Here is a 27,765-nt window from a genome sequence, read left to right as displayed (position 1 = left end):
CCCAGAGGAACAAGGAGCTGTACCTGCCTGCAGATTTCAGGAAGGGGCAAATCTGCTGTGCTCAATTAATGATTTCTTATGCTTAAGTATTAATTAACATTCTAGACTACATATAGTATTGCAACTGTCTTCCTTAATTAAAAAGTGTAACTCTGTTCAGAGTCTTTGGGAATAGGAAGCAAGTTATGGAGAACATCTATGTAAGACTATAATTTTAAAATTTAGACAATATTTTCAGAATTCAGATTATATGGTAGTGCAATATTTTTTGTTCAGGAAACGCACAGTAGAACTTTAAATTCAGAGTTTATGTACTGTATCTCTTGGTAAAAGACTGCTTTGTAATATAAATTCTTCAAAGAAAAAGATTTTCTCTCATTTCACAATGGATCCAGAATCTCTTTATATCAAAACATAAATCTTTTTGTGCAATTAAAGTGTTCAGACACATTAGATAGCTGTAACATTAAATTTCGTAAGGTCAGTGATACCATCAATTCAATTAATTCTCTCAATTATCCTCTGCATTGTTCCAAAACTGTTCTCATCAGGGTGGCCAATGTGATGGTATCAACAAGCGGGGAGAAGCTGCCTGGCATCCTGGTGGATTTTGGTCAGTGTGGTTTCTACACTATCAAACTATTTGTTGTGAAAGACCTGGAGTCTTGTTTTTAAAATGCCATGATTGTATTTTAGTTTGCTTACTTTTGTAAATAGAATTGAGAAAGTGCAAATGTACCCCGTTTATCAATATTTACTTTGTATATCTGTTTGCCTTGTGGCATATAGACTCTGATCTTTTCTGTAGTGCATATATTCAGATTAATTTTGTGAATTGTGTGTATTAGCTCACAATTCTTGAATGACTGAAGATGATATTATATTTTAATATAATATAATATTAAATAAAAATTACTCCGCATCTTTTTTTTTTTTTCCCATGCAACTTTCTTAGGATTTGTGTCCTTCCCTTTGAATGCTTTGGACCACTCTCTAGGAAGGTTTTCTCTCTGGTAACCTGTTAAACACTTATACTTTATCAAATAAATATAGTTTTGAAACACAATAAATAAATGCATGTGAATATGTTTTAGGGCTTTAAAAAATAATCGATAAAGTGCTAGTTTCATGTTTCTACCTGTTCTAACAGTGCTTTTTAATTTACAGGAAACCTTCATGAAGTGCTCTATTTAAATTTGAGGATAAGGAGAATTTGGAGACGGTCCAGATAGAGTAATAAAAATCAGTAAGCCTAGATGCAAATACATTTTGGGAAAATGATAATGTGTGCCAAGATTTTAGTCAACCTGCCAAAAATTGCATTTTACAAAATACAGTGGTGTTATTCACGCATTTTTCGCACTGTGAATGCTAATGAATAATTCCCAGTGGTTGTAGAGGGGACTGATCCAATGCTTAATGTAGATGTGGTTTAAGATTTTCTCTTAAAATTGGGCTCCATGGGTACCTAATTCTTACTATTCTATGTTATGGTAATGAACCTAAAGAGAAGAGAAAGTGTAGGAAAAAATGTTTTTAATCCTAGGCCCTGGTTGTAGAAAATTTTTCATTAACTGATCCATTTCAGGTTTGCTAAAAGAACAACTGGAAGAAAAGTAAGTTTTCCTCCTAACAATGTTGAGTTCATATAAGACTCATATCCTGATTTTACCATCTTGGTTTTTCTCAAATTCAATCTTTTTTTGTAAAAGACTGGAAGAAGGATTCAGCCAACTATTCTGAGGCAGATTTCACCATGGAAAGAATCTAGACTTTGCCGTTTAGTTGAATTGGCTACTGATCATACCTCTGTCACCTGTTAGCTCTGTAACTTGTGCTAGTTGTATAAATGAGAATAGTAATTGGTATCTAGCTTTTAGAGTTCTTGTGATGATTACAGAAATTTTTTTAAAAAAGCACTGGTTCAAAATAGGTACTCAATAAATGTAAACCCTCTTCTTAAAAGCAATTATGGTACAGTTCAACCTAACTAGGAAATTGAAATCTGGTCATACATTTAGAAGAAATATTCAGGTAAATATATTTAAGTGATAAAATGGAGAATTTCAGGGAGGGAATCATTTGTTGTACTAAAAACAGACACATTAGAAATATTTCAAATGCCCATTGAACAAATAAAAGGCACCTCTACTCTTACTGCATCTGCCTGTCTGAATTCTTGGTTAATCATATTTAATTAAAACATTTAAACCTGTTCCTTAGAAATACATTCCTAAAACTAAAAAGAATGCACTGGTATCAGAGTAGGTAAAGTATATAGATGTAATGGACAATTATTGTCTAAATCACAAAAGTAGGTAGATCTGTTGATATAAAACATTTATCTTGCATTCTTTAAGTTAGACTTTATGGGGTTTATTATTATTATTATTGAGACAGAGTCTCACTCTGTCGCCAGGCTGGAGTGCAGTGGCATGATCTCTGCTCATTGCAACCTCCGCCTCTCAAGTTCAAGCGATTCTCCTGCCTCAGCCTCCTGAGTAGCTGGGACTACAAGTGTGCGCCACCATGCCCAGCTAATTTTTGTATTTTTAGTAGAGACGGGGTTTCACCGTGTTGGCCAGGATGGTCTCGATCTCTTGACCTCATGATGCACCTGCCTCAACCTTCCAAAGTGCTGGGATTACAGGCGTGAGCCACCACACCCAGAAAGTTAGACTTTTAAAGTAGGTTCATATTTAGAGTTACTGGATAAAATGTAAGACAACCAGTTAAATTTGAATTTTGGATAAACAATGAATATTTTCTCAGTATAAGCGTGGGGCATACTTATACTAAATTATTATTATTTATTTGAAATTCAAATTTAACTGGATGTTCTATATTTCTATTTGCTAAGTATGGCAACCCAACTCATATTTTCAACTCTTATTTATACGTGTTATGATTATATTATGAATTATCCTACTATAAAACCAACTCCCTTTACTTATAGTTGATCTCAGCAAATTTTTACATATCATTTCTGACTTATTTCTTGAGACATTTTTTCTTTATATGTAAAAGAAATGGTGACGTTAAAATTCTAGGAGAAACCTGAAGCTAACTACTCTATGAGAAACAGCTTCTACAAACTGCATAATGGATTTCAAGTTGCATTCACATTGCTCTATTTTAATAAGTACGAGCAAAAGATCTCTAAAAGCAGAAGATAGCTGATATCATCAAATTCTACTACATGGCACTACAAAGGAGAGAGAAGGAACAATCAATTCAGAAGTTATGAAAGGCTGTCCCTTGGTAAGCTGCATATACGGTGTGGGAAGGCTCCCGTGTATGTAGCAGTATAATGAAGCTACAAGAGGGAGAGACTATGCTTTCAGTTTTATTCATATAATGCACAAGAATTTTGAATTCATTTCTTTGGAGGGTAAGCACCTTAAATCACCCATGTAACATCAGCTTTATTGTTCAGTGTTATAGAACAGAAGAAATAGGAAAGGGTTTGAAGAATTAAACGAATATACAGAAAACTTGTTTGTACACGTGCCTTCTGTTTTAACAGTAAATCACTAACTTTTTAGACCTGAAACTGCTTGCTAACACTTAGTTCCGGGGGAAAAATGAGAGCAAAAGAGAAAATTTCCCCCAGATTGGAACAGAAAATAATGTTGAAGCAAATAGAACGCTATATACTTCTGACAGTTCAAATGATACATAAGTACACAGGCTGACAAGGGCTGTGTTGTCCCTGCAGTTCACTTCGCTCAACTCTGCATGGTTCTGTAGGACAATGAAATTCAATGCACTTAGAATTTAAAAAAAAAAAAAAAAAAGCAGAAGAAGAAGAAGGAGAAAAAGAAAAAAGTGAGCTCAGATTCTTTTAAAAGCATTTCTATGAGAAAACAGATCATTTACATGCCAAAAGCACTTTTAATGTGACATATTTAGCACATGTATTATTTAGAACGAAAGCTGCTTGAACTTAGTGAATTCTAAAGTCTATAAAATGGCACCCCACTGAGCAGAAAGGTAGCTGTTCTCTGTTATGTGATTATTTTGAATAATAGACTTGTACGTAACTTTTTACGAAATTAAAGGTATGACATTTACTTTCGTTTAGCCCCATAAATTGCACTTTAGAATATAAAGAATGGGCTGATGTATGAATTTGTTGTTCCTTCAAACAGTTTAACTGATTTTTAAAGAACAGTTTTGTGTTTCATCTATCGAGTAACACATCAAACAGTTATCTTAGTAGAATCTTAGTAGACTTAATGAGACTCCTGTATCACTTAACTCTTCCAAGAAATGTTCAGGGACCTGTAAAACGAGAGAGGCGGACACTAGGTTTGTTTTGTTTTCTGCTTTCACTGGAGCCCAAACCCGGGTTAAGGAGTACCAACTCAGCTCCAGGAGTAGTTGGGTGCTGAAGGGAGCATGGCTTCTCATTAGCCGTTGCATGGTGGGACAATGGTATATAACTCCAATTCCTTTGGAGAAGAAAATTGGAATTGCAAATCTTATATGATTTTGGACGTACTCTCCAGACATCCAATTTTACAAGATGACCCTTTCATCAGAGCCTACTGTTTGACTTCTAGGGATCACTGAGAAAATACTTGTTTCTTTGAGTGTGACTGAGGACAAAATAACCAGATCTTGAAAAATTATTATAGAGATCTGTTGAAAAAGGTCTGCGTTCTCGGCTCTTCCTCATTTATGATAATTTTGCTTTGGATGCAGAGATATTGATGAATTAAGTTGAATACACACATGTATACACACAGAAACACCCATATTGGGCTGAATCTCTGTGATGTGGCTGGCCAGAACTCTATGAAGAAGTGACTCTCCAGGTAGAATCCTCAGAAATGGCTTAAGGTACAGATAAATTCAGGACGGTGCATGTGTTTACCAAAGACAGTCCAGTATGCATTGGACCTCTGTGAATTTAAAGAAGTGAATGATTAGCTAGGTGGTGTTAGGGTAAAAGTGTGGTGTTTGTATGCAGACCATTTAGAGATTTCCATTTTTAAACCTCTTCTCTCTTCCCCACTTCCTTCACCCCCTCCAGAGATTTCAATGATAGTGTTTAAATTTGCTTCAGGCTTTAAACTTGGCATTCGGAAAATCAGCTCAGCAACTCTTGAGTAATTTATCTGGGTTTCCAGAAAGTCTCTCTAGTTCCGTTTAAAGATAGAGACACTTGATTGGAAAACAAAGTGCTGTGGCAAAGTCACAGATTTGCTGCGAGTCCACATAGCTCTACAAACAGGGTGTTTGTTTCTTTAAGGAAATGTTGCTTTGGCTAATCCTGACAAGGTGCTTTTCTCTCTCTTTTTTGTTTTTTGATTTTCTGAGTTAAAAGAAGCAAGATTTTGAGTATTAATAAAATTAGCCCTTATAAAAAGGAAGATTTTTGCTATTTGTATACCCTTGTCTATATTGCTATTACAACAGCTTTGTTCAGAGAGAGATGGAACTAAAAGTGGATCTGCAGCCCAAAAGGTGCAATTATGGTCATTGAAGCCAATAGCATAATTATGTATATAGCGTATATATTTATCAGATATGTGCAGCCATTTTGAACTCTTTATGTATTATCATTACCACTTTGCAGCTTTCTTGAAACAATTTTGAACATCATCTAAGCAAAAATCACTGAGAAGGTTAAATGCTAAAAACATACTTTTAAATTACATTAGGGTTATGGCGTAAAGCCAAGAAAATCACAGAATTTTTGTCCTATCGCTGTTCTCTATTTCCTTGAGATTAATTAACATCAGAAATTTAATTAATTCTTTTTGTAGTCAGCAATCTTTTGTTCTTATTTTGAGGAATATGATTCAAGAAGATAGAAGGACTTAAACAAAAACTTTCAAACTCTACTAGGAATTTATGTTTACTTCTTTATGTGCAGTATTAATTTCCATTTCCAGAATAAACACCTCTCCACCTGGGATAGTGACAACTTTTCATTTTTAAACCAAAAATTTTGCATTCTTTGAAGTCTAGTTTATTTCACACCTTTCCAGGGCTCTCTTTAATGCAAGCAGGCAGGACCCCTAATCTTCCCATTTTGCTGCAATCCAACAGTTACTAATATTCACATATATGTGTTGGTGAAAAGGAACGTTTCTCTTAGCAAGCATGAGGCAAGGTTTTAATTTGTAGCTGATAATTTGCTACTGGAAGCTTACCCTGATTAGTCTTCTTACTGCACCAACAGTTTTTGAGGTGGTGTGAATTACCTGCTGTGTATGTTTTTACCACTCACTCAGGGATGAAAATGAATTACAGCCTAGCCCTCAATTAAAGCTTGAAATAAGAAAACCTCAAACTTCTTTTATGTCCTCACTTCTAAAGAACAGAATTAGTTGTTTCTGATATCATTGGAATTGTAATTCACACTCTTAGAAATCCTGCAATGGATCTTTCAGCTCCACTCAAACAAGCACATCTCAGCTGTTACCCAATTACATTGCCTTTGCTCCAAGTCAAATCATCATCCAACAGCTGAGAACTGAAACAAACTCCATTTGTGAAAATGAACCATAGGTTTATTGATAATGCAGAATGTTTTAAAGTGTTAATTCTCTTCATCCTACAGAAATTAATATGTTATTTTGGGTCCTATTAATTGTGAAATCTAGGAAACTGAGTCATAGACTTTGATTTAATTTGTCATTGATGTAGTCTAGTTTTCAGCAGTGCTGAAAAGAAATAAACTAATGGAAACCTTGAATAAATATTTTTGACACACTGTCGTTAGATCTTTTGAGAAAATGCCCATCACTTTAAACCAGTATGTTACAAGTCTATAAAAGCTCACATTGTATTGCTCGTGAGATTGTTGGGTAGTCTCGCCATCTCAAAAGGAAGCACAGAGGCAGTCAAATAGTCTATGTGTTTATTCATTGGTTCATGTTCTTATTGGGCACCTATTGTATGTTTCATTTGCTCATGCTGCCCGAAATAGAGCGCTCGTGAGTCCTAAAGCACTTTTATTCCACATAGGAAAACAGTTTATTCCATTCACTCTCAGGAAGAAAGGATCCTGTGAGGGGATTGTATTCATGACTTGTCACATATCCCAAGTCTGTCTCTGTTCTACAAACCTCTTAGTTTTCTATGGAAAAGAAGGGGGATACCTGAGTATCTTATGCAAGAACAGCATAGAAAGTGTCAAGGAGAAGGAAAAGCAAGCAGGGACTGAAGTTATAGTGTGGTCTTCAGCTCTGATGAGTAGAAAGACTAAGGCCAGTTGGAGGGTACAGCCTTGTTCAATTAAAGAAAACTTTTTTCCTTGATGTGGCTGAGGAAATAGATATTCTATTTGAATTGTGAGAGAGGAAGCAAAGGGCTGCTCAGCTTGGAGTGGATCACATATAGGGCTGTGTGGGAACAAGAGGAATAAACAGAGGAGACAGAGCCGGGCACTTCCAATCAGATGATAAACTCCTTGATAATAGAAGTCTGTGTGTGTGTGTGTGTGTGTGTGTGTGTGTGTGTGTGTATGTGTGTGTGTTTTCCATAACAGCTAGTTCAGGACTGGATTCACAATTGGTATCAATTTTGGTTTCCTAATTAGCAATTCATGTTCCAAGGTTAGAACTCAAGTTTATAAAGTCAAAGGAAGGGCAGTGATATGCTGGATACATTATATTCAGCAGAGTTTACCTTACTCTTGATATTAACAGACTTATATCAAATTTACCAATGAATCTTCATTATATTTTCCTCTACTTTGAAGTCATAAATTTACTAGTTATAATTCTATTCTGTAACATCACAGGAAAGATGATGTGTGTAGCTCTGCATGTTCACCTTCCTGGAAGGAGAAAAATCACCATTTAGTTCTTCCTACCTTCATTGCTATCAAATGATAAAAATTGTTGATAAGTAGCTAAATATTATGCAATATAACAATGTTCTTAGAACTCTTTATTCTTAGAAATAAAGAAGTAGACATTCAAATAGATTATAAGCGGCAAATAAATGAGCTTAAAAGAGGGCTCTCTCTGATGTAGGAAGTATTTTTTTTTTTTTTTCTGGGCTTAGCCTTTTTAGAGGTCGGTATATTGTTGGTTGTTCATACTGTTTACGTCATGCTTTAATCTTTCATTTAAGAAAACCTACTTTTGGGTTTCATTTGGCTTAATATGATGGTGAGGGTTTAAAAAAATTATGTCTTCTCAGACATATAAGAGTTGTGTCTTTTTAAATGTGAAGTTGACACCTAAACAGTCATTCAGGGTTAGCCTGAAATTTAAATTGGACCATTGTATTATTGATTTGTATTACATACATATTGGATAGTATGTATTGTTTACTGATTTTTGTTACATACATATTGGATAGTATTTCAAATAAGAGTTGAAATAAAAACCTGTCTGGCTATGTGTTAGGTAAGAGATAGGCAGATTCATTAACTCAATTATCTCTATTGGGACAGTAACTTGAGAACAAGCTCAGAAGTGAGTAGAAGCAGGAGCAAGGCATAGATAAGAAAGAAGTCATTTCACTGGGCCACCTGGAATGAGGGTTTCCTTGCCTGTCTCTCTTTTCACTTTCCTCTGTCCTCATTTACTACTTTGCTGTCTTACTTGTTTCTTCTTTTCTTCTATCTCTCTTACTTTTTCTCTAGCAGGTTCATTATCATATATTGGTTGTGTACTGTTACAGATTATTTTCCTCTGGTCTAAGGGTTGGGTAAAATCACTGGCATCCATTATGTATTTATTATCTTAGATATGTGATTGAGTTAAGAATGACAAAAGAAATCCATACAGCCCGAAAATTGGCATCTTGCACTTATGGAAATTTGGACAGCATTTTTCTGAAGACAGATGAATTTAAGGTTATAGAGTACCTTCTGCAGGAGATTCCTGAATGAAACTGGAACTGAATGAGAACTGCAAGCAACCCACCATGGTGTGCTACTTACTGGATCCTTTCAGAGCATCTGCTGACCTCATGTTGGTGAACTATTCATCGTCTCACTCTGCTATGCCTCCTGCCCCACATCCACAACACATACAGCATGTTATTTTTGGTCCTATTAATTGTGAAATCTAGGAAACTGAGTCATAGACTTTGATTTAATTTGTCATTGATGCAGTCTAATTTTTAGCAGTGCTGGAAAGTGATACACTAATGGAAACTTTGAATAAATATTTTTAACACACCATTGTTAAATCTTCTGAGATAATGTCCATAACTTTAAACCAGTATGTTACAAGTCTAAAATTTGGGAGTTTATCAATTACATAGAAATGAGAAATTATGAAATATGATACTGATATATCAGGCTGGTTCTTTTTGCAGCCAGCTGGATCATATAAAGCAGAATTACCAACTTGTTCAAACTCTGGTTATTTTTTCTCATATGCCAGATAAAAATCCTAAATACTCTGGAGGAACTAATGCTGAGTAGTGAGATACAAATCACCGAAGGAAACTTTTAACTGCTAATATTTCAAAGTTTTTCTTCGGAAAAACATGGAAATGTGAATGATTTCTGATTTGTATAATACTTAAGTGCATTTTGCTTGCCTTTCAGGCAATTTATTCTACTTAGCACAAGATGGTATATATTATCATAAATTAAGATGATTTCAAAAAGATGGAAAACTAGTTCAAAAAAGCAATTCTTTAAAAGTTCACACACAATTTTAGAGCATTTAGAAAGAGGACTTTGGAGATTTAAGAGTAACAAGCTTTGTGTTAGTAGTGGTATAAGCCTGGCCGTGTTCACAAGTAAATCAATAACAAAATCAGTCTATTACCACATCTACAGTTTTAATAGATATTGCACTATGGGACTTGTCTTTTTAAAAAGAAAATCTTGAGTTTGTAGCTTAGCTTTTGAAATTTGTACTAAAATAAATGCATCTATGAAGTCTACAAACTTCATTGTATTGTTGAGTAGAATATGTGGAATGTGAGAAGATGTGGTATTCAAAACAGATCATACTCAAAAAGAGTTGCAGACCTGTTTTTCCTATTAAATAATGAAATCGTATTCCTTCACAGCCACACATACACAAAAGAACCTGAAAATATTGGTAAGGCTATGCATATTAAACTTAATCAGTACATGAGAAGAAGCCTTCAAAAGAAGCAACGTGAATACTAAAGCATCTGTGGAAAATGCCACATTTTGAAATGAGCCCTGACTTGAGGGGGTAAATATCTGGGTTGCAGAACTTTTCCCAGCTATTTACAAACCTAATGATCTTCAGCTTGTCTTACAAATTCACTTTCTCATCCTTAAAGAGATAATAATGTTTTTCCTATCTCTGTGTTTGAGGTGCAAAATAAGAAATGTGGAAGAACTTTGTACAGTGTAAACCATTATTCAGATGTGAAGCAGTATTATATTCTGTTCATGCATAAGAATTAACCTTGTTGATGCTCAGTTGGGTCACTGTCTATTTTTTAATTTCTAAATTTTTTTCCCACTTTTAATTTTTAGTATGGACTCTAGGTCTATTTCAGAGTCATGGGTTATTTTACGTAAAACTAAACACCAGATTTGCTGTTGTAATATTGGTGAATAATTAATTCAACCATCTAATTATCAAACACATTTCTTAGTGCTTATTCTATACAAGCACTGTATTCATGTGGTACAAAAATAATCCAACACAAATATTGTCCTCATGAAGGTCACAGTTAGGAGACACAAATATGTCATTGTTGGGTCTGGGGTTTGGTTTTAGCTTACTTACAGGCTAATAACATAGCCTATTGCTGTTTCATGGATGCTGGCAGAATACATAGATTTCTGAGTCAGAGATGAAGGATTATATTATTCACAGCACAGAAAGTGGCATCATGTTTGTATTAGTTCCATTTGCCTGCTGAGTCTCAGCGGGGTGACATAGAATGAAAAGGTGGATATTACACATGCAACAGGCAGAGGGCATGTTTTGTGTTGCAGTTGCGGAACATCGAGCTTGGGAGACCCACTTTTCAAAGAGTAAATAAGCAGACCTGCTCGTCATACTGGAGGGAGAGCGTATTTCATCCCTCTAAGATTGCTTTCTACAAATACAGCCCTATGAAATGGCCCCAGGGCCCCAGCAGTCAGAGCCTTGCATTCCTGGCCTAGCAATATGAGTAGGAAAATGTGTACAACTATTATGCATCAGTGAAAAATGAAAGATGTGTAGGAGCACTCCATCAGTTCTATCTCCCAATGGTTATAAGGTAGAAATTGACAAGTGATGAGGCTTATTTGAAATTTAAATTTAAGAGATTTTAGACCTATTCCATGTTAAACAGAAAAGCTACTGCTTTCTTGTTTAATTTCTTTTTTATTGTTAACTATTTGTTGAGCACTTACTGGTGTGTGTGTTTCACTGTGGAACATCATGGTGATAAGAGGATCTTAATCCTCAGGTGCCCAGTGAGGTTTCTGTCATTTCTGTCTTTGGACTCAAAGAGATTCCTCACTTGGCACTTGTGTTGGTTCTTAACAGCACTTCTTGAGGGCTACCATTGACCATTTTCTATCATAAAACACCAATTTTATGGCAACCATTTCAATATGAGATATTAGAATCAGTGTCCCTACCGAAGGTATTTCTGGATTTCTCCATGGGTTTATGTTAGGAAAAGTCACATTTAATGTTCATCCCATTTTCCTACCTGTATTAATTGCTTTATGTTAAAAGAAGTAGCATGGTGGGTTGATGCTTCTTATGGCCAAGCAGAGATTCAAATTCAATTCTTTCTCCAGAGGTGAGGCGCATTCCATTACTGCCCACTGCATCCTGGGAACCAGAGGACATGAGAGGTGGAGGACAGAGCTTCTTTGCCTTTTCATAACGAGAGTGTAAAACAAACTGTAATATGCTCCTCAAATAAAGGTTAAACATAAATAAATAGCTCAGTTTGCCACATTTGAAATTTTTTTCTTGGAAGTCTTCATTGCTCTAAAGGTGTAGTCTGCACCATTATCTGAGGTTTTGCTTTTCAGTTCCCTGCAGTCAACTGAGATCCAAAAATATTGAATGAAAAATTCTAGAAATAAGCAATTAATAAATATAAAATTGTACAGCATGCTGAGTAACACAATGAAATCTCATGCTGTCCTGCCCAGGATGCAGATCCTCCCTTTGTCCAGTGTATCTGTGTCATACCTACTCCTGCCTGTTTGTCACTTAGTAGCTGTCTCCATTATCAGATCAACTGTCTTGGTATTGCAGTGCTTGTGTTCAACTAACCTATATTTTACCAAATAATGTCCTCAGAGCACATGAATACTGCACCTAATTTATAAATTAAACTTTGTCATAGGTATGCATGAACAGGAAAAAACATAATATGTATAGGGTTTGGTGGTTTCAGGCATCCACTGGGGTTCTTGGAATGTATCTCTCATGGATAAGGTGGAATTACTATATAAGGAACACATTTGATTCCTCAAATATGAATGAGTTAATGACTAAGAGAAGTTAATTTTTAGAATTTGAGAGGGACCTCCCACTTGGCTGTTTGAGAATTTGATGAAGATATTGCCCTGAACCAGCTGACAAGAGACAAAAAAATTTAGCGAGAGAGGAAGAGAGATTTGCTATTAAGTCAAAATACAGAGTACTGTACAGGAAAATCTTCCTTGGGAGACAACATTCTCTTCAAAAGAAAAGTGAGTTTGTTTTGGCAAGGGGCCTTGGAATTCTAGTTTGCAATTTAAATCTTAGCTAAAAATTGCATTTTTAAGGCAGGTGCTTGTCTAGCACAGGTGGTTAGTGTAGCAATCACTGTATCGACAGAAAAATATTATGATGAGGTGTGGAGACACCAACCTAATGAAATAAAATGAAAAGGAGGAAAAAAAATTGCCTCTCTCTTCTTTCCTCCTTCACATACTCCTCCAAATAATTGTAATTTAATGTTCTATTCAGAAGAACATATTTTTAACAGGGCAGCTCAATATTAATCTTAAAGTCAGAAAAATAACTTGTCATTTATTTAACCCAAGCCTGATGGGAGGTTAGATTCACTGCTGAAAGTCTGTTACAAATAGCTGGGACATTCTAAGGTCACCAAATGATGGCTGTCATTTTCTTATTCAGTCCAATGATGAAAGAGCTTTTAAATGTTTGGACATTCAATCTATGTAGTGCCACGACCTGGACATACCCTTTTACTAAACACTAGCCCACTAAATCCTCTTAGAATGTTGTTTACCTCCAGATAAATCAAACCTGACAATGTAGGTTAACTTCACTGATTCATTTTTCAGCCACAAATGATTAATAATTTTTACAGAATGAAAGCTACAGATTTCTTATTATACGGTGGACTACAGGGAGTGATATAATTCTTGGATGTCATGTGAAATGCGAAGCCATTTTTTCTGGAACTGATGTTCCCAGTTCTCTACCAAGCATAGTAGCTACCTTTCCTCCACTGGAGGATCATCCAGCAGGAATGACCTTATCAATTACTGTAAGTCAGCATCTTTCCCCCAGAGTTTGAGCAAGCTGTTCTCTGCAATTTGTACCGGTAGCCCAGGACTAAATCCCGAATCCATTTCCAAAAGCCTAAGCATGTCACGTGCTGTAGCAATGAAAGACATGTTGCTGCAGTAAGCAAAGACAAGGCTCTGTGAGGAGAGCTTTGCTGGCTGACCAGAAACCCCACACGATGAAGAAAGGCCAAGACAAAGAAGTGAAGTGAGCAGAGAAGGGAAAAAGGGCTCCTACTCTCTTGAGCCCAAGATATTTTAAAGATAAATGGCAGATTTTGCCAGCATTTATTTTGGCCAGCTTCCCCTTCTCTGTTCACTAGCTACCGAATATCTCTGGTGTTCATCGTGATTTAGTAATGATTGAGAGTTAAAGTCAGCAAATGTTTCTGCTACAGGTGTCTTGAAATTCCATCATGCCATGTTTCCAGGTTAGCTGAGCTTGTGATTTTTTTTTTTTTTTTTTTGACTTCTCATTCTGCCATTCTTGAATAGCTAACACTTTCCACATTTAGAATTGCTTTCTGGTATCCTGGCAGGGAGAGATTTCTATGAGAGATACAGCACATATAACCTCTCTTGACATCAAGGGCACAGAAATAGTTGATAAAATAGATGATTGATTACCTACTCTTTGCTCAGCACTTATATTTTCCATTAGGTTCAGAAACTTCCATTAGGTTAACACCTAGAAAGTTTTGACATTTGCCCTTAATATCTTTATTTGCTGGGATGCCTTGTGATATTCCTGCTTTGGGACTGACTGCACTTGGAAGAGCAGAGGAACTAAGTCAAGAAAAGTATTTTTTTCCCTAAAATATATTCAAATCTTAATGAAAACCCAATCTGGATTTGGTTGATGTTCAGCTTGAAGCTTTAGATTAGTTCTGATTTTATTTCTACTGGCTTGAATATACATATTCTAATCCCATATGAAAACCAACGTTTCATAATAAAATTATAGTTTTCTGTATAGTAAGACATCCATCCATTATGCGATACATAGATTCTGCAGGCATTGGACACAAGGATGAAACGGCTCCTCTTCAGCTGTTCTTTTCCACTGTGTAATTATATAATTAGGATGTAGACTATCCATCATACAATTCTTTTTGTAATTCCATGGGAAAAGCTACTGAATATGGACAACAAATGATTCCTAAACCTCAGTATCACAGCTGGTTTACATTTTTTACTCTAAATCCCGTAAGTGGGCAGGCCATGTTACAGAACTCTTTCATGCCAAATTTCCGTTTTTAAAATTGAAACCATTTGGTATTATCCAAGAGAAAGGGAGCTTTAAAGGATGGTTGACTGTTTACCTGATGTTTATGAGTCTACCCACATTGTTTTCCCTTTCTTCAAAAGACAGTTACCATCTTTAACCCGCATTGTAGCTGCTTTTTTCATCTTTTCTAATTCCTTTTTTGTATTATTCAAATTTCCACCTCTTTTTTTCTCTTTAATACATTTTAAAATTATTATTTGACTCATAGACAGCCCACATTTTAAAGTGTTCTAAATTTCCTACACAGGTTCTCACTCCAAGTCATCCTGATTTTAGTGCCCCAAACACCTACTATCTACCTTGTATCACTTCACTTCTCCCTAACAGTACAAAAAATTCTTTTAGATATACTTAAATTCAATAACTTGTATTAATGCTTTAAAAAACCCTAAATCAAACTTTTATTTACCATTGGTGGGAATGTAAAGTAGGATAACCATGATGGAGAACAGTATGGAGATTCCTCAAAAGGCTACAAATAGAACTGCCATATGATCCATCAATCCTACTACGCATTTATCTAAAGGAATGAAAATCAGTTTATCAAAGAGACAGCTGCATCCTCATGTTTACTGCAGTGCCATTCACTAAGCCAAGGTATGGACTCAACCTAGATGTCCAATAACAGGTGAATTGATAAAGAAAATATGCATACACATTGAAATACTATTCAGCCATAACAAGAGTAAAATCCTGTCATTTGTGGCAACATGGATAGAAGTGGAATATGTTAAGTGAAATAAGCTAAGAACAGAAAGTTAAACACTGAATATTCTCACCCCTATGTGGAAGCTGTAAAAAAAGTTGATCTCATAGAAGTAATAAATAGAACAGAGGATACTAGAGGCTGGGAAGAGTAAGGGGAAGGGAGGGATAGGAAGAGATTTATTAAAGGATGCAAAATTATAGCTAGATAGGAGGAATAAGTTCTAGTGTTATATAGCACTGTAGGATGACTATAGTTACTAATATAATCTAAAGTTTCAAATAGCTAGAAGGAGGACGGATATTGACTGTTCCCAACAGAAAGAAATGATAAATGTTTGAAATGATGGATATGCTAATTACCCTGATCAGATCACTAAACATTGTATATATCAAAACATCAATATGTACCCTACAAAAATGTACAACTATTATGTGTCAATTAAAAAAAACCCTAAATATGTTTAACAGAATTGGTCTTAAATAGGTTTTATCACTAATGCCATATAATAATAATAGTAATGCAATAACATAAATTGAGAAAAACTGGGACATAATTTGATGCAAGAAAGAATATGGGTCTCCTACTATCATAAATCTAGCTCAATGGAAAGACAGCAAGATATATAATATTACAGGAGACAAAATTTTATATTGATTTTTATAAATAATGCACAGTGGGAATTAAGCCAAGTGGGCCTCTTTGTTGTGCAGTTTGTTGCTTAAGTTTCTATGACTATAGAATGGAATACATTACAGGAATAAAATAATTTTTAGCTCCAATCAGTATAATCAGCATATATTTAACATCTATTCTGGGTAGGACACATACCCAGTTGAGACAAATAGAGTTGCTTATATCATAATCTCTTTTTCTCAAGTTGTTTATAATCTAACCGGGCAAATACACCTAGCATCAACAAACTAATAAATGATATTCTAAGTGTCACATATAATGTAAACAAAACATGGAGACCTATCTGAATGTCTACGGTGGCTAAATCGAAGAGTTAGCATTGGAACTGACCCTTAATCAATGGGTATTAGCTCAAAATGCAGAGAGAAAAATATAGTTCAAAATGAGAGAGTAATGGAAGCAAAAGAACATAGGCAAGAAAGTTCAGAGAACACGTAGAGAACAACAAAAATCTGGTGGGAGATGAGGTTGGAAGGGTACAATTTGATTTCAATTATGCTTTCATTTGCAGAAGTTTTATTTCTTAAAAATCTATTTTGTCCTTCTTTATAGTTTCTTATTCCTTATTCTATTTTCAAGCTTTAAAAATTCTTGAGATATTTGATATTTCATAATCTGTGTCTGATAATTACAATATCTGAAATTTTTACACATTGGGTTCTGCCATCTGCTCTTTCTGCTTGCTCCCACTCAGGATGATTTGTTATGTGTCATTAGATTTTTGATATGAACTATTCATTTCCTTTGAACCTGTATCTATGGGAGTTCTTTGAGATCTCAATTGAAGGACTCAAAGATTCTTCCAAAGAGGATTTGCCTTTGCTTTGGGGAGTTGTGTGGTGGCACTACCAACAAAAGATCACTCTAAATAAATTATTCATTTAAAGTTTTTTGACCTACATAGGTATCAGGAATTCAAAACTGTAACACCAGGAGAAGAACCTGCATGTGCTTCTCAAGATATATTTCCTTCTTCTTCAGCACCAAAATCAATATAGACAAGTAATATGGCTTAGCTGTGTGTCTCCACACAAATCTCTTCTCAAACTGTAATCCCATAATTCCCATGTGTTGAGGGAGGAACCAGGTGGGAGGTGATTGGATCATGGGGGTGGTTTCCCCCATGCTGTTCTCGTGATAGTGATGATCTGATGGTTTTATAAGTCAGTTTTCCCTGCTGTTGCTTGCTTTTTCTTTTCTGCCACCATGTGAAGAAGGTCTTTGCTTCTCCTTCTCCTTCTGCCATAATTGTAAATTTCCTGAGGCCTCTCAGCCATGTAGAACTGTGAGTCAATTAAACCTCTTTTCTTTATAAATTACCCAGTCTTGGGTAGCTCTTTATAGCAGTATGGAAACTAACTAATACAATAAATTCCCTGGCTTTCTCCTTTGGTGTGGCAGATTTATTTATTGTTCTGCCTTACACTGAGTGTGATACTCTTTGGGATCCTACATATGTGGGAGTAACCCATTCTCACCCCTTTATGATGACTGTGTGCTTTATCTACTAGTTCTCATGTATGGTGGAGCCATTAAGGAGGAGCTTAAAATCATCAGAAGTCAATAGAAAACTCTCTGACAACTGGAAATCTTTGGTAATTGCTTACATACCAGGAGTCCCTACTTTACTTCTATTTTAGCTGTTGAAGTATTCTTTCATGCTAGTTCAGCAATTAATTTCCGAAGATTATTTTTACATTTTATTTGGCATGTAGGTTATTTTAGCTGGGAAGTTCACTCAGGGTATTTAGTCTAGTCTGTTATACTGACAGAAATAGAATTCATAAAGGTAAATTCTGGGCCAAGATAAGAATCCTATTTTTTGCCTGAAAGCTAAAAATGATATTTTGTAGTTAATAGAAATTCACTGGTACTTTTTTTTTTAAAGGAGGAAAATGTGACTTACTCAGAGCTGTTACTTGGAAAGGCAGGTCTAACTAATATAAAGAGTTAGAAGGTGTTTATCATGGTTTAGATGAAAGGTGAAGAAGCTTAATCTGGGAGAGTGGCACAGGGAATAGAAAGGAGTCTAGGGCTGTAAAGCATAGCATACAGATGAGAAATTATCTTTGTTTTCATTGGTTAAACCACCTTTTTGGAATGTAGACTAAAGAGATAATATTGCTGAAGATACCAACTATAGAGGGCCTTGGTAGCTGTATCAATATAAAATCTGACTGAAATGTTAATAAAGCATTTGAATGCCAACCTGTCTATTACACCAAGGATAGATTCATATAATTGGATTTTCTAAGACAGAATTCCACTAGCATTATTCTTAGTCTCAATTTATTTGGGTAGGGTAGTCCTAACCTACCTTGAAGTATGACAAATCCCAGGGAAATGCTACCTTGCTTTTTATAATCCAGGGAAGCATCTTTCTTCTGTGATGAATTCCAGATAGAATTAAATAGTTACCCTTAATAGGCTGAAAATAGATTGCAAATTCAGTTTTAATCCATTCTCTAAGTTGTAGTCTTCTTAACACAAAGCAATCTAAAGTGAAATTTACTTTTCTTGAGAAACAATAAAAGGAAGGGTACCGAAACACAAAGGAGATGGCGGTGATTAAAATATGGGAAATAATGTCTTATTTTGTCAGTGTTCTTAAAAAGTTATACAGGAATTTGTTTTATGATACTAGATTCTAATGGCTTTATGTTTGCTGAAGAGAGCATGGCATTTATTCACCTGTCAGGCTTAAGATTTCAAGCTCACTAGGCTGTCTTTCTGTGGGACATTCATAGTTAAATTCCCCTATATATCCTGAAGAAATGGGTTGAAGATTACACTCTTAGAGTTGTTAAGAGAGTCTTAGAGATTGTTTCTTTAGACTTCTTCTACCACTGAGAAGGAGTGTGGGGTTGAGAAAAGAGGGGTGTCAGTGGTGGTGGGAATCTGGAGTCAGAAACACTTGGCTTCAATACTTACCTCTGCCTTTTACTAAATATGTGAGCTTAGCCAAGTGACCTTTCTCTTCATACCTCAGTTTATTTATAAAAATGTGAATAATGATAGTGATTTCGCAGAATTGTTTTGGGTGTTAATGAGATACTTATGAAAATGCCTAGCACAGTGTCTAGTACATTACAGGTACTCAGCAAATAATACCATACCTATTGTTATTGTTATTGCTTTATCACACGCAGCTTCTCTTTGATGTGGAATTTATGTGATTCAGCCTACGAAATGTTTATTCTAAACTCTCTGTTGAATACAAATCTGACCCCCTAAAAATTCCATTCTTTGGTCCATGTTCTGCTCTATGAAACAACAAAGGATACATACAGGCATACCTCATTGTACTGCACTTTGTTGTATTGTGCTTTGCAGATATTGCATTCTTTACAAATTAAAGGTTTGTGGCAACCCTGCAACGAGCAAGTCTATTGGTGGCGTTTTTTAACAGCATGTGCTCACTTTGTGCCTCTGTGTGACGTTTTGGTTATTCTGCCATATTTCCAACTTTTTCATTGTTATTGTATTTGTACGGTGACCTGTGATCAGTGATCTTGGATGTTACTATTTTAATTGTTTTGGGGTGTTGTGAACCGTGTCCATATTAGATGGCAAACTTAATTGATCAATGTTCTATGTGTTCTCCCTGCTCTACTGACTGGCTGTTCTCCCATCTCTACCCCTCTCTTCAGGCCTCCCTACTAGCTGAGACACAACAATATTGAAGTTAGGGGAATCAATAACCCTACAAGTGGCTTCCAAATGTTTAAGTGAAAGAAAGTAGCAAGTCTCTCGTTTTAAACCAAAAGCCTGAAATGAGGAGGCTTAGTAAGGAAGGCATAATGAAAGCTGAGACAGGCCCAAAGCTGGGCCTCCTGTACCAGTTAGCCAAGTTATGAATGCAAAGGAAAAGTTCTTGAAGGAAATTAAAATTCTATTCCAGTGAACACATGAATGATAAGGAAGCAAAACCATCTTATTGCTGATATGAAGAAAGCTTTAGTGGTCTGAATAGATTAAACTAGCCACGGCATTCCCTTAAGCCAAAGCCTAATACAGGGCAAGTCCCTAACTCTTCAATTCTGTGAAGGCTGAGAGAGGTGAGGAAGCTGCAGAAGAAAAGTTGGAAGCTAGCAGAGGTTTGTTCGTGAGGTTTAAAGAAAGTGGCCGTCTCCATAACATAAAAGGGCAAGGTGGAGCAGCAAGTGCTGTTGAAGAAGCTGTAGCAAATTATCCAGAAGATCTAGCTGAGATCATTGATGAAGTGCCTACAATAAACAACAGATTTTTTCAATGTAGATGAAATAGCTTTATATTGGAATAAGATGTCATACAGGGCTTTCATAGCTAGAAAGAAGAAGTCAATGCCTGGCTTTAAAGCTTCAAAGGACAGGCTGACTCTCACATTAGAGGGGAATGTAGCTGGTGAATTTAAGTTGAAGCCAATACTCATTTATTATTCTGAAGATCCTAAGGCCCTTAAGAATTGCATTAAATCTACTCTGCCTGTTTTCTACAAATGAAACAACAAAGCCTGGATGAGAGTAAATTTGTTTACAGCATGGTTTACTGAATATTTTTAAAAGATTGTCTTCCAAATATTACTGCTCAGCTCATTGACAATGCACCTAGTCACTCAAGAGCTCTGATGGAGAGGTATTAAGAGATGAATGTTATTTTCATGTCTGCTAACAAAAAATCCATTCTGCAGCCTATGAATCAGGGAGTAATTTTGACTTTCATGTCTTATTTAAGAAATATATTTTGTAACACTTGTAGCTATGATAGTGATTCCTCTTATCTGATGGATCTGGGCAAACTAAACTGAGAACAGTCTTGAAAAAATTCACCATTCTAGATGCTATTAAAAACATTCAGGCCAGGCGTGGTGGCTCATGCCTGTAATCCCAGCACTTTGGGAGGCCGAGGCAGGTGGATCACGAGGTCAGGAGTTCGAGACCAGCCTGGCCAAAATGGTGAAACCCCATCTCTATTAAAAATACAAAAATTAGCTGGGCGTGGTGCTGTGTGCCTGTAATCCCAACTACCTGGGAGGCTGAGGCAGGAGAATTGCTTGAACCTGGGAGGCAGAGGTTGCAGTGAGCCAAGATCATGCCACTGTACTCCAGCCTGGGCAGCAGAGCAAGACTCCATCTCAGAAAAAAAAAAAAAATTATGATTCGGGGGAAGAGGTCAAAATAACATCACCAAACTGGAATTTGAAAGAAGTTGATTTCAACTCTCATGAATGACTTTGAGGAGTTCAAGATTTCAGTGGAGGAAGTAACTACAGATGTGGTAGGAATAGCAAGAGAACTAGAATTGGAAGTGGAGCCTGAAAATGTGATTGAATTCCTCCACTCTCATGTTAAAATTTGAATGGGTGAAGAGTTGCTTCTTATAGATGAGCCAAGAAAGTGGTTTCTTGAGATGGAATCTACTCCTGGTGAAGATGCTATGAACATTGTTGAAATGACAACAAAGGATTTAGAATATTCCGTAAACCTAGTTGATAAAGCAGTGGCAGGGTTTCAGAGGATTAACTCTCATTTTGAAAGAAGTTCTACTGTGGGTAAAATGCTACTAAACAGCATGGCATGCTACAGAAAAATGGTTCATGAAAGGAAAAGTCAATCTATGTGGCCAACTTCATTGTTGTCTTATTGTCTTCTTTTAAGAAATTGCCACAACCACCCTGACCTTCAGCGACCACTACCTTGATCAGTGAGCAGCCATTAACATCAAGGCAAGACCCACCATCAGCAAAAAGGTTAATCTAAGACTTGCTGAAGGCTTAGATTATTGTTAGCATATTTTTAGCAATACAATATTTTTAAATTAAGGTATGTATGTTGATTTTAGACATAATGCTATTGCACACTTAATAGACTATACTGTAAACATAACTTTTATATGCACTGGGAAACAAAAAATTTTGTGTGACTTGCTTTCTTATCATATTTACTTCATTTTGGTTGTCTGGAATTGAGCCCACAATATCTCTGAGGTATATGTTCTTTCTTCTGGAAGACAAAATTCAATTACTTGAAAATGGTTGCCATGTTTTGGCTTAGTGTCTCCTACTTAGACTAAATGGATGTTGCAATTGGGTCAAGGGATATGAAAAAGCAGGGAGGATGTATTTCTTAGTTAAAAGGATTAGAATAAAAATGACGGTGAGAAAAATATGAAGTTACGAAATTTCTCCTTCAGTTTATCTATCTATTGCTTTCGAATTAGGCTGGACTCTACATAAAAGACATCTTCTTTTCATATTTAAGAATCATTTATATTAGAATAAACTTTTGTTTCGGGCTATGAAAATATCTTTGATATTCTTTTTTATTCTAACATTTCAATTTAATCAATAAGTATTCTGCAGGAGTTAAGTTAGGGGAGCTAAAGGATGCCAAGCATCTATTTTTCTATATTTGTTTTTACTCAATGATTCATAAGAAATTTTGTAACTTAGTTTTAAGGATATCTACGTTAGTCTACGAATACAGTATTCTGAACTCAACTCATTTTCCCAGAAGCTTGTATGTAGTATGTATGTCATTTTTCATGTTATAAATACTTATTCTACATGCACTATTTGCCAGGCACAGTGCTGAGGGCTTCAGTTAAATGTACTAAGCATCATGAAGGGTTTTATAGTGCAGTATAGTACAAATGGTTAAAGGGTTATGGTAAGGGTGATCACGGGGAAGTAGAGTGTGCTATGAACAGTCATTGGAGAAGTACATAATTCAATCTCAGGTTCAGGAAAGACTGTCTGAATAAGTGACATCTAACTGAGACAAGGAGAATGAGTGTGAGATGGCCAGATGAAAAGAGAAATGACAAATATCTCAGGCAGAGAGAATAACCAGTGGAGAGGGCAAGAAATGAGAGAAAACATGGGAACTTGGAAGAACTGGAAGAAGTTCAATACGGCGGAAGCATAGAGCATGAGAACTGAAGGTAGGAAATTCAGAGGCTTGACCATGAGAGAACATGAAATTCATGCTGAGGGGTTTGGACTCTATCAAAAGAGTGATAGAAATGTGGTGAGATGGTTATGGAGGCAGAGATGAGAATGATGCACCTAAGATACGAGGAGCTAGGAAGAGGCAAGGAAGAATCTTCCTCCAGAGCCATCAGACAGAGCCTGGCATGGCTGAAAACTTGATTTTAGACTTCCAGTCTTCAGAAATGAGGGAGAAAAAAATTCTGTTGTTTTAACACACCTGATTTGTGGTACTTTGTTATGGCAGCCTTAAGAAACCAATACAAATAAAAACTTGAAAAACACCATGGTCAGGGGAAGAAGGGCTTGACTGAAGAGTACCAGTCAGAATGGCAAGAGGAAGAAAACTGAGGAGATCAATGTCACAGAAGTCAAGTTGAAGATTTCATGAAGGATAATAGCAGTCAACAGTGCCACATGCTGCCAAGAAGTCACATAGATACGGACCAAAATGTCCAGAGAATTAATTGCAAGATAGTCACAAACTTGGTTAACTTGGGAAAAGAAGTTTTCATGGTATGGTGGGCTGAGGAAGTGCACATAGGAGGTAAAATCAGCACATGTAACAATGCTTTCAAGAAATTTGCTGGGACAATGAAGTGCAGGAAGGTAACCACAAAGTGATGTGGGGAATAGGGGACAGTGATTTCTAAATCTAGAGAGACTTGAGCATGTTTAAAGTGCTGACAGCGAGGAACCCCCAGAGAGGCAGAGGCTGAAGACAGAAGTGATAAAGAAGGAATCATCAACTGAGCCATGTCTCTGAGAAGACTGAAAGTGATGAGCTCCAGAGATTAGGTGAAGGGACAGCCTCTTCTTTCATTGTTCCAGAAAGAAACAAAGGAATGATAGGGAGAGGCACAGACACATATGTAGGCTTGTGAAAGAAAGTTCAAGGACTTCTGTTTCCTGTATGAGGTGAGGTCTTTGGCTGAAAGAGGAGATCCGTGGTGAGACTAGTTTTAGGGGAGTGGAAAACGTTTGAAATAGTCTGTGCATAACTGAGAGAAAGCTGATGAAGGACTGTGGCAGGCAGGCAGCAGCGAGGGTGCAGCTGAGGTTGAAAAGCCAATGTTAGTATTGGCATCAGGTGTTTGGCTGTGCTTTCTGCTAGCTGCATCGCGTAGTCTCAATGGAGGCCAGGGTGGCGATGTTTCAACTGACTCAGGTTTGGAGCTTTTTTAGGCAAGTGGAACGACCATCAGTGAGGCAGAAGATTTGAGGAAGATGGCAAGGGAGTCGCCAAAGCAGTAGACCGTGGGCCCAAAGTTTAAAGAGAGAGAAGTAAAGGCAGGAGATGGCTGATAGTTGCAGAGAGAAAGATGCTAGAGGTCTCCCTGAGGTTAGAGAGTAACGTGAGCAACTGACATCCATCTACTGAATGTATACTTGGTGCCCAGCTCTGTGCTTGAGGAGACGGTAGTAAGATAAATACTAGACAGGAAAACAAAAGCCACAGTGCTTGCCCTTGAAAAATCCAGTCTAGCTGGATTATTGTGAGTGTTTGAAGTGTTAGGTTCTTAAATACTTCTATAGAGTTTAAGAGGAGCAGAGATTGATTAAAAGCCACAGTTGAATGGTGCTTTCACTTTTGGGTACCCCAAATGGCTCAATTTTAGAATTGAATCATCTCTTCCTTTTAACTAAGTTGAGCTTTAATGAGTAAGTTTTCCCTACTTGTGTGCTTTGCAGCACATTTTTTTTAATTAAAACAATTTTAAATGCTCTTTTAAAAATACTTTCATATTATTGTTTCCATAACTATTCATCAGATTAGTTTTGAAGCTCTGATCTTTTCACTATGCATTTCTCTAGCTGTGTAGCGATTACAAGAACAAACTGACACTGCTTGGAGCTCACACATAGAGTTTTGTGGTTATTGATGAGCCTGGGAATTTTGTGAACTTCAGGAGTAATGTTGGTACTAGAATACAATGCACAAAACTATAGTTTGCTGTGTACTCTTGTCATAAAATTATGTTCTGATATTATAGAAATATTATGTGCTATAATTATACTTGAATCTATTTCAACTTATTTAAATCCATGGAATGTAAACAGACTTAGATTCTTATCTCTTAATAGCTTTTTTCCCCATCTTTACTAGAAAGTGAGAAAAAATTAGTTATTTTTGTAAATTGGCAGCTCATATGTATTTTAGAGTAATGTGATAATGATGAATTGAAATAAAATGTGTTTCCTCTAAAGCAGTCTACCAACAATAATTCAGGAGTCATAAGAACTCACCTGCTTTATAAAGCAGGCATTGTCTACCATTCTAAAATGATTTTCCGTGGGAAAAAAATGGTTAAATTCAGTTGAAAAATCATGTTATTTTGGAGAAAAAATGATTCCTAATTTTAACTAAATTTATCGATTCAAAAATAAAGGATGTGTGTTTCCTTTGTGCAGTGTTGGTTTCCTCTGAGACCTCACTCTGGCCTATAGATGATTGTCTTCTCCCTGTGTCTTCACATGGTCTTCCTTCTGTGTGTGTTTGTGTCCAAATTTTCTCTTCTTATACGAACACCATATTGGATTAGGGCCAATCCTATGACTTTATCTTAACTCTTTGAAGATCCGATCAAATACAGTCACATTCTGAGCTATAGTGTGGTTAAGACTTCAACATATAGATTTTGGGCAGAAATAATTCAGTCTACTACAGGAAACAAAGCAGACAAATACCTGCTCTGTGGAATTCATACTCTAGTGTAGGGATTGGCAAACACTTTCTGAAAGGATCAGACAATAAATATCTTAGCCTTCAAAAGCCACATGCAGTCTCTGTTGCATAATTCTGGATTTGGCTTGTGGGCCTTAGTTTAGTAATCCCTGCTCTAGAGTAACAAACAACTGCATATATGACATAATGTCAGGTACAAATAAGTGCAAGGAACATGCATAGAACTTGGTAAGTGCACATAGAGTGACATTAGGGTACTATTTGGTGGTTGGGAAGAGACATGACATTTGAAGGGTTTTCTCTTAAAATGAAGAGTGAAGTGAGTCTCACGTGAATGAAGTAAGGGAACAAATGACCCAGGCAGAGACGGTGGCACATGCAAGGTACTTGCGTAGGAGCATGCATGAGATGCTTCAGGAATGATGAGGAGGACGCTGTGGCTGGAGTGCACCTAAATGTATTCACCTGTTAGTCTAAATACACTCAGGTATTGGCATTTAAGCAGATTTCCCCCAACCAAGTCATACACTAATGCTAATCTTGATGTTTTAAAATTCACTGATATATTTGCCTCTTGATTGTAATTCTGATAATTTTACAACATTGGACCTTATTGGAACATCATTTTAAATGTATTTAATGTACTAATTTAAGCAGTATGCAAACCTAGTTTACCTGGAAGAATTTAGAAAATAAAGACTCAAGTCTAAAAAAAAAAAGAATGAGATGAGATCATGTCTTTTGCAGGGCATGGATGAAGCTGAAAGCCATCATTCTCGGCATACTAACACAGGAACAGAAAACCAAACACCTCATGTTCTCACTCATAAGTGGGAGTTGAATAATGAGAACACATGGACACAGGGAGGAACAACACACACTGGGGCCTGTTAGGGGGTGGGGTGGAAGGGGAGGGGGAGAGCATTAGAACAAATAGCTAATGCATGCGGGGCTTAAAACCTAGATGATGTGTTGACAGTTGCAGCAAACCACCATGGCACATGTATACCTAGGTAACAAACCTGCACATTCTGCACATGTATCCCAGAACTTAAAGTAAAATTAAAAAACTAAAAACAGAAAGATGGAAAAGAAAACACTCAAGCGTTCTTAAATGTCCTTCAAGACTTCAGCTTATTCAGAATGTATGCAACACTGGGATTAAACCTCCTTAACAATAATGTTTTATTACAACCATACCCAAGGATGCTGGAGTAGTGCTGGAAGTTCCTAATGGAAGGGCTAGAGTAAGGAAGGCGATTCTTGCTCTGGCCAGGGGCTGGCCATTCTGAAATTTGATATGCCCTATGTGGTCTTGGAGAGCTCAACATTATGTCACTCTCTCGACTGCTCTAGACATTTGTCCTCAGACCTTGACTTGTATTTAGTGTGAGTTTTGATATAATCAAATTTATTAAAATCTGTGATAAAGAAAAAAATCTTAAAACCGGCTAGAAAAAGATTTTGGTCATTCTTTCTTCAAACAGGAAGAACAACTTCCTGGCATTTCCTTCAGTGATTAAAATTACATGTATGTTAGGATTCTCCACATTGTTCCATAGCTCACTCATGCTCTCTTCAATTTGTTTTCAGTTCTATTTTTTTTCTCTGTGTGTTCTTTTACATAGTTTTTACTCTGATACATTAAGTTTACTAAATTGTTTTCTTCTGCGTTGTCTAAACTATTGTTGATTCCTTTCACTATATTTTTTGCTTCGAATTTCAGATATTATTTTCATCTCCAAAAGTTTGATTTTGCTCTTCTATGTGTCTCCTTTAAGTGTTCATCCTTTTCTATACCTTTCTAAAAATATGAAATGAGTTATAAAAACCCTTTTAATGTCATTGTCTACTAATTTTGACATCTGAGACACTTCTGGACAGATTTTGATGAGCTGATTATGGGTTATGTTTTCTTGTTTCTTTGCTTGCCTGGTAAACTTTGACTGAATGCCAGATATTGTAAGTTTTACATTGT

This window comes from Homo sapiens, chromosome 15 (genome assembly GCF_000001405.40).
Source record: "Homo sapiens chromosome 15, GRCh38.p14 Primary Assembly".
Taxonomy (NCBI): domain Eukaryota; kingdom Metazoa; phylum Chordata; class Mammalia; order Primates; family Hominidae; genus Homo; species Homo sapiens.
The sequence above is the reverse complement of the archived record's forward strand: the minus strand, read 5'-3'. Positions refer to the sequence as shown.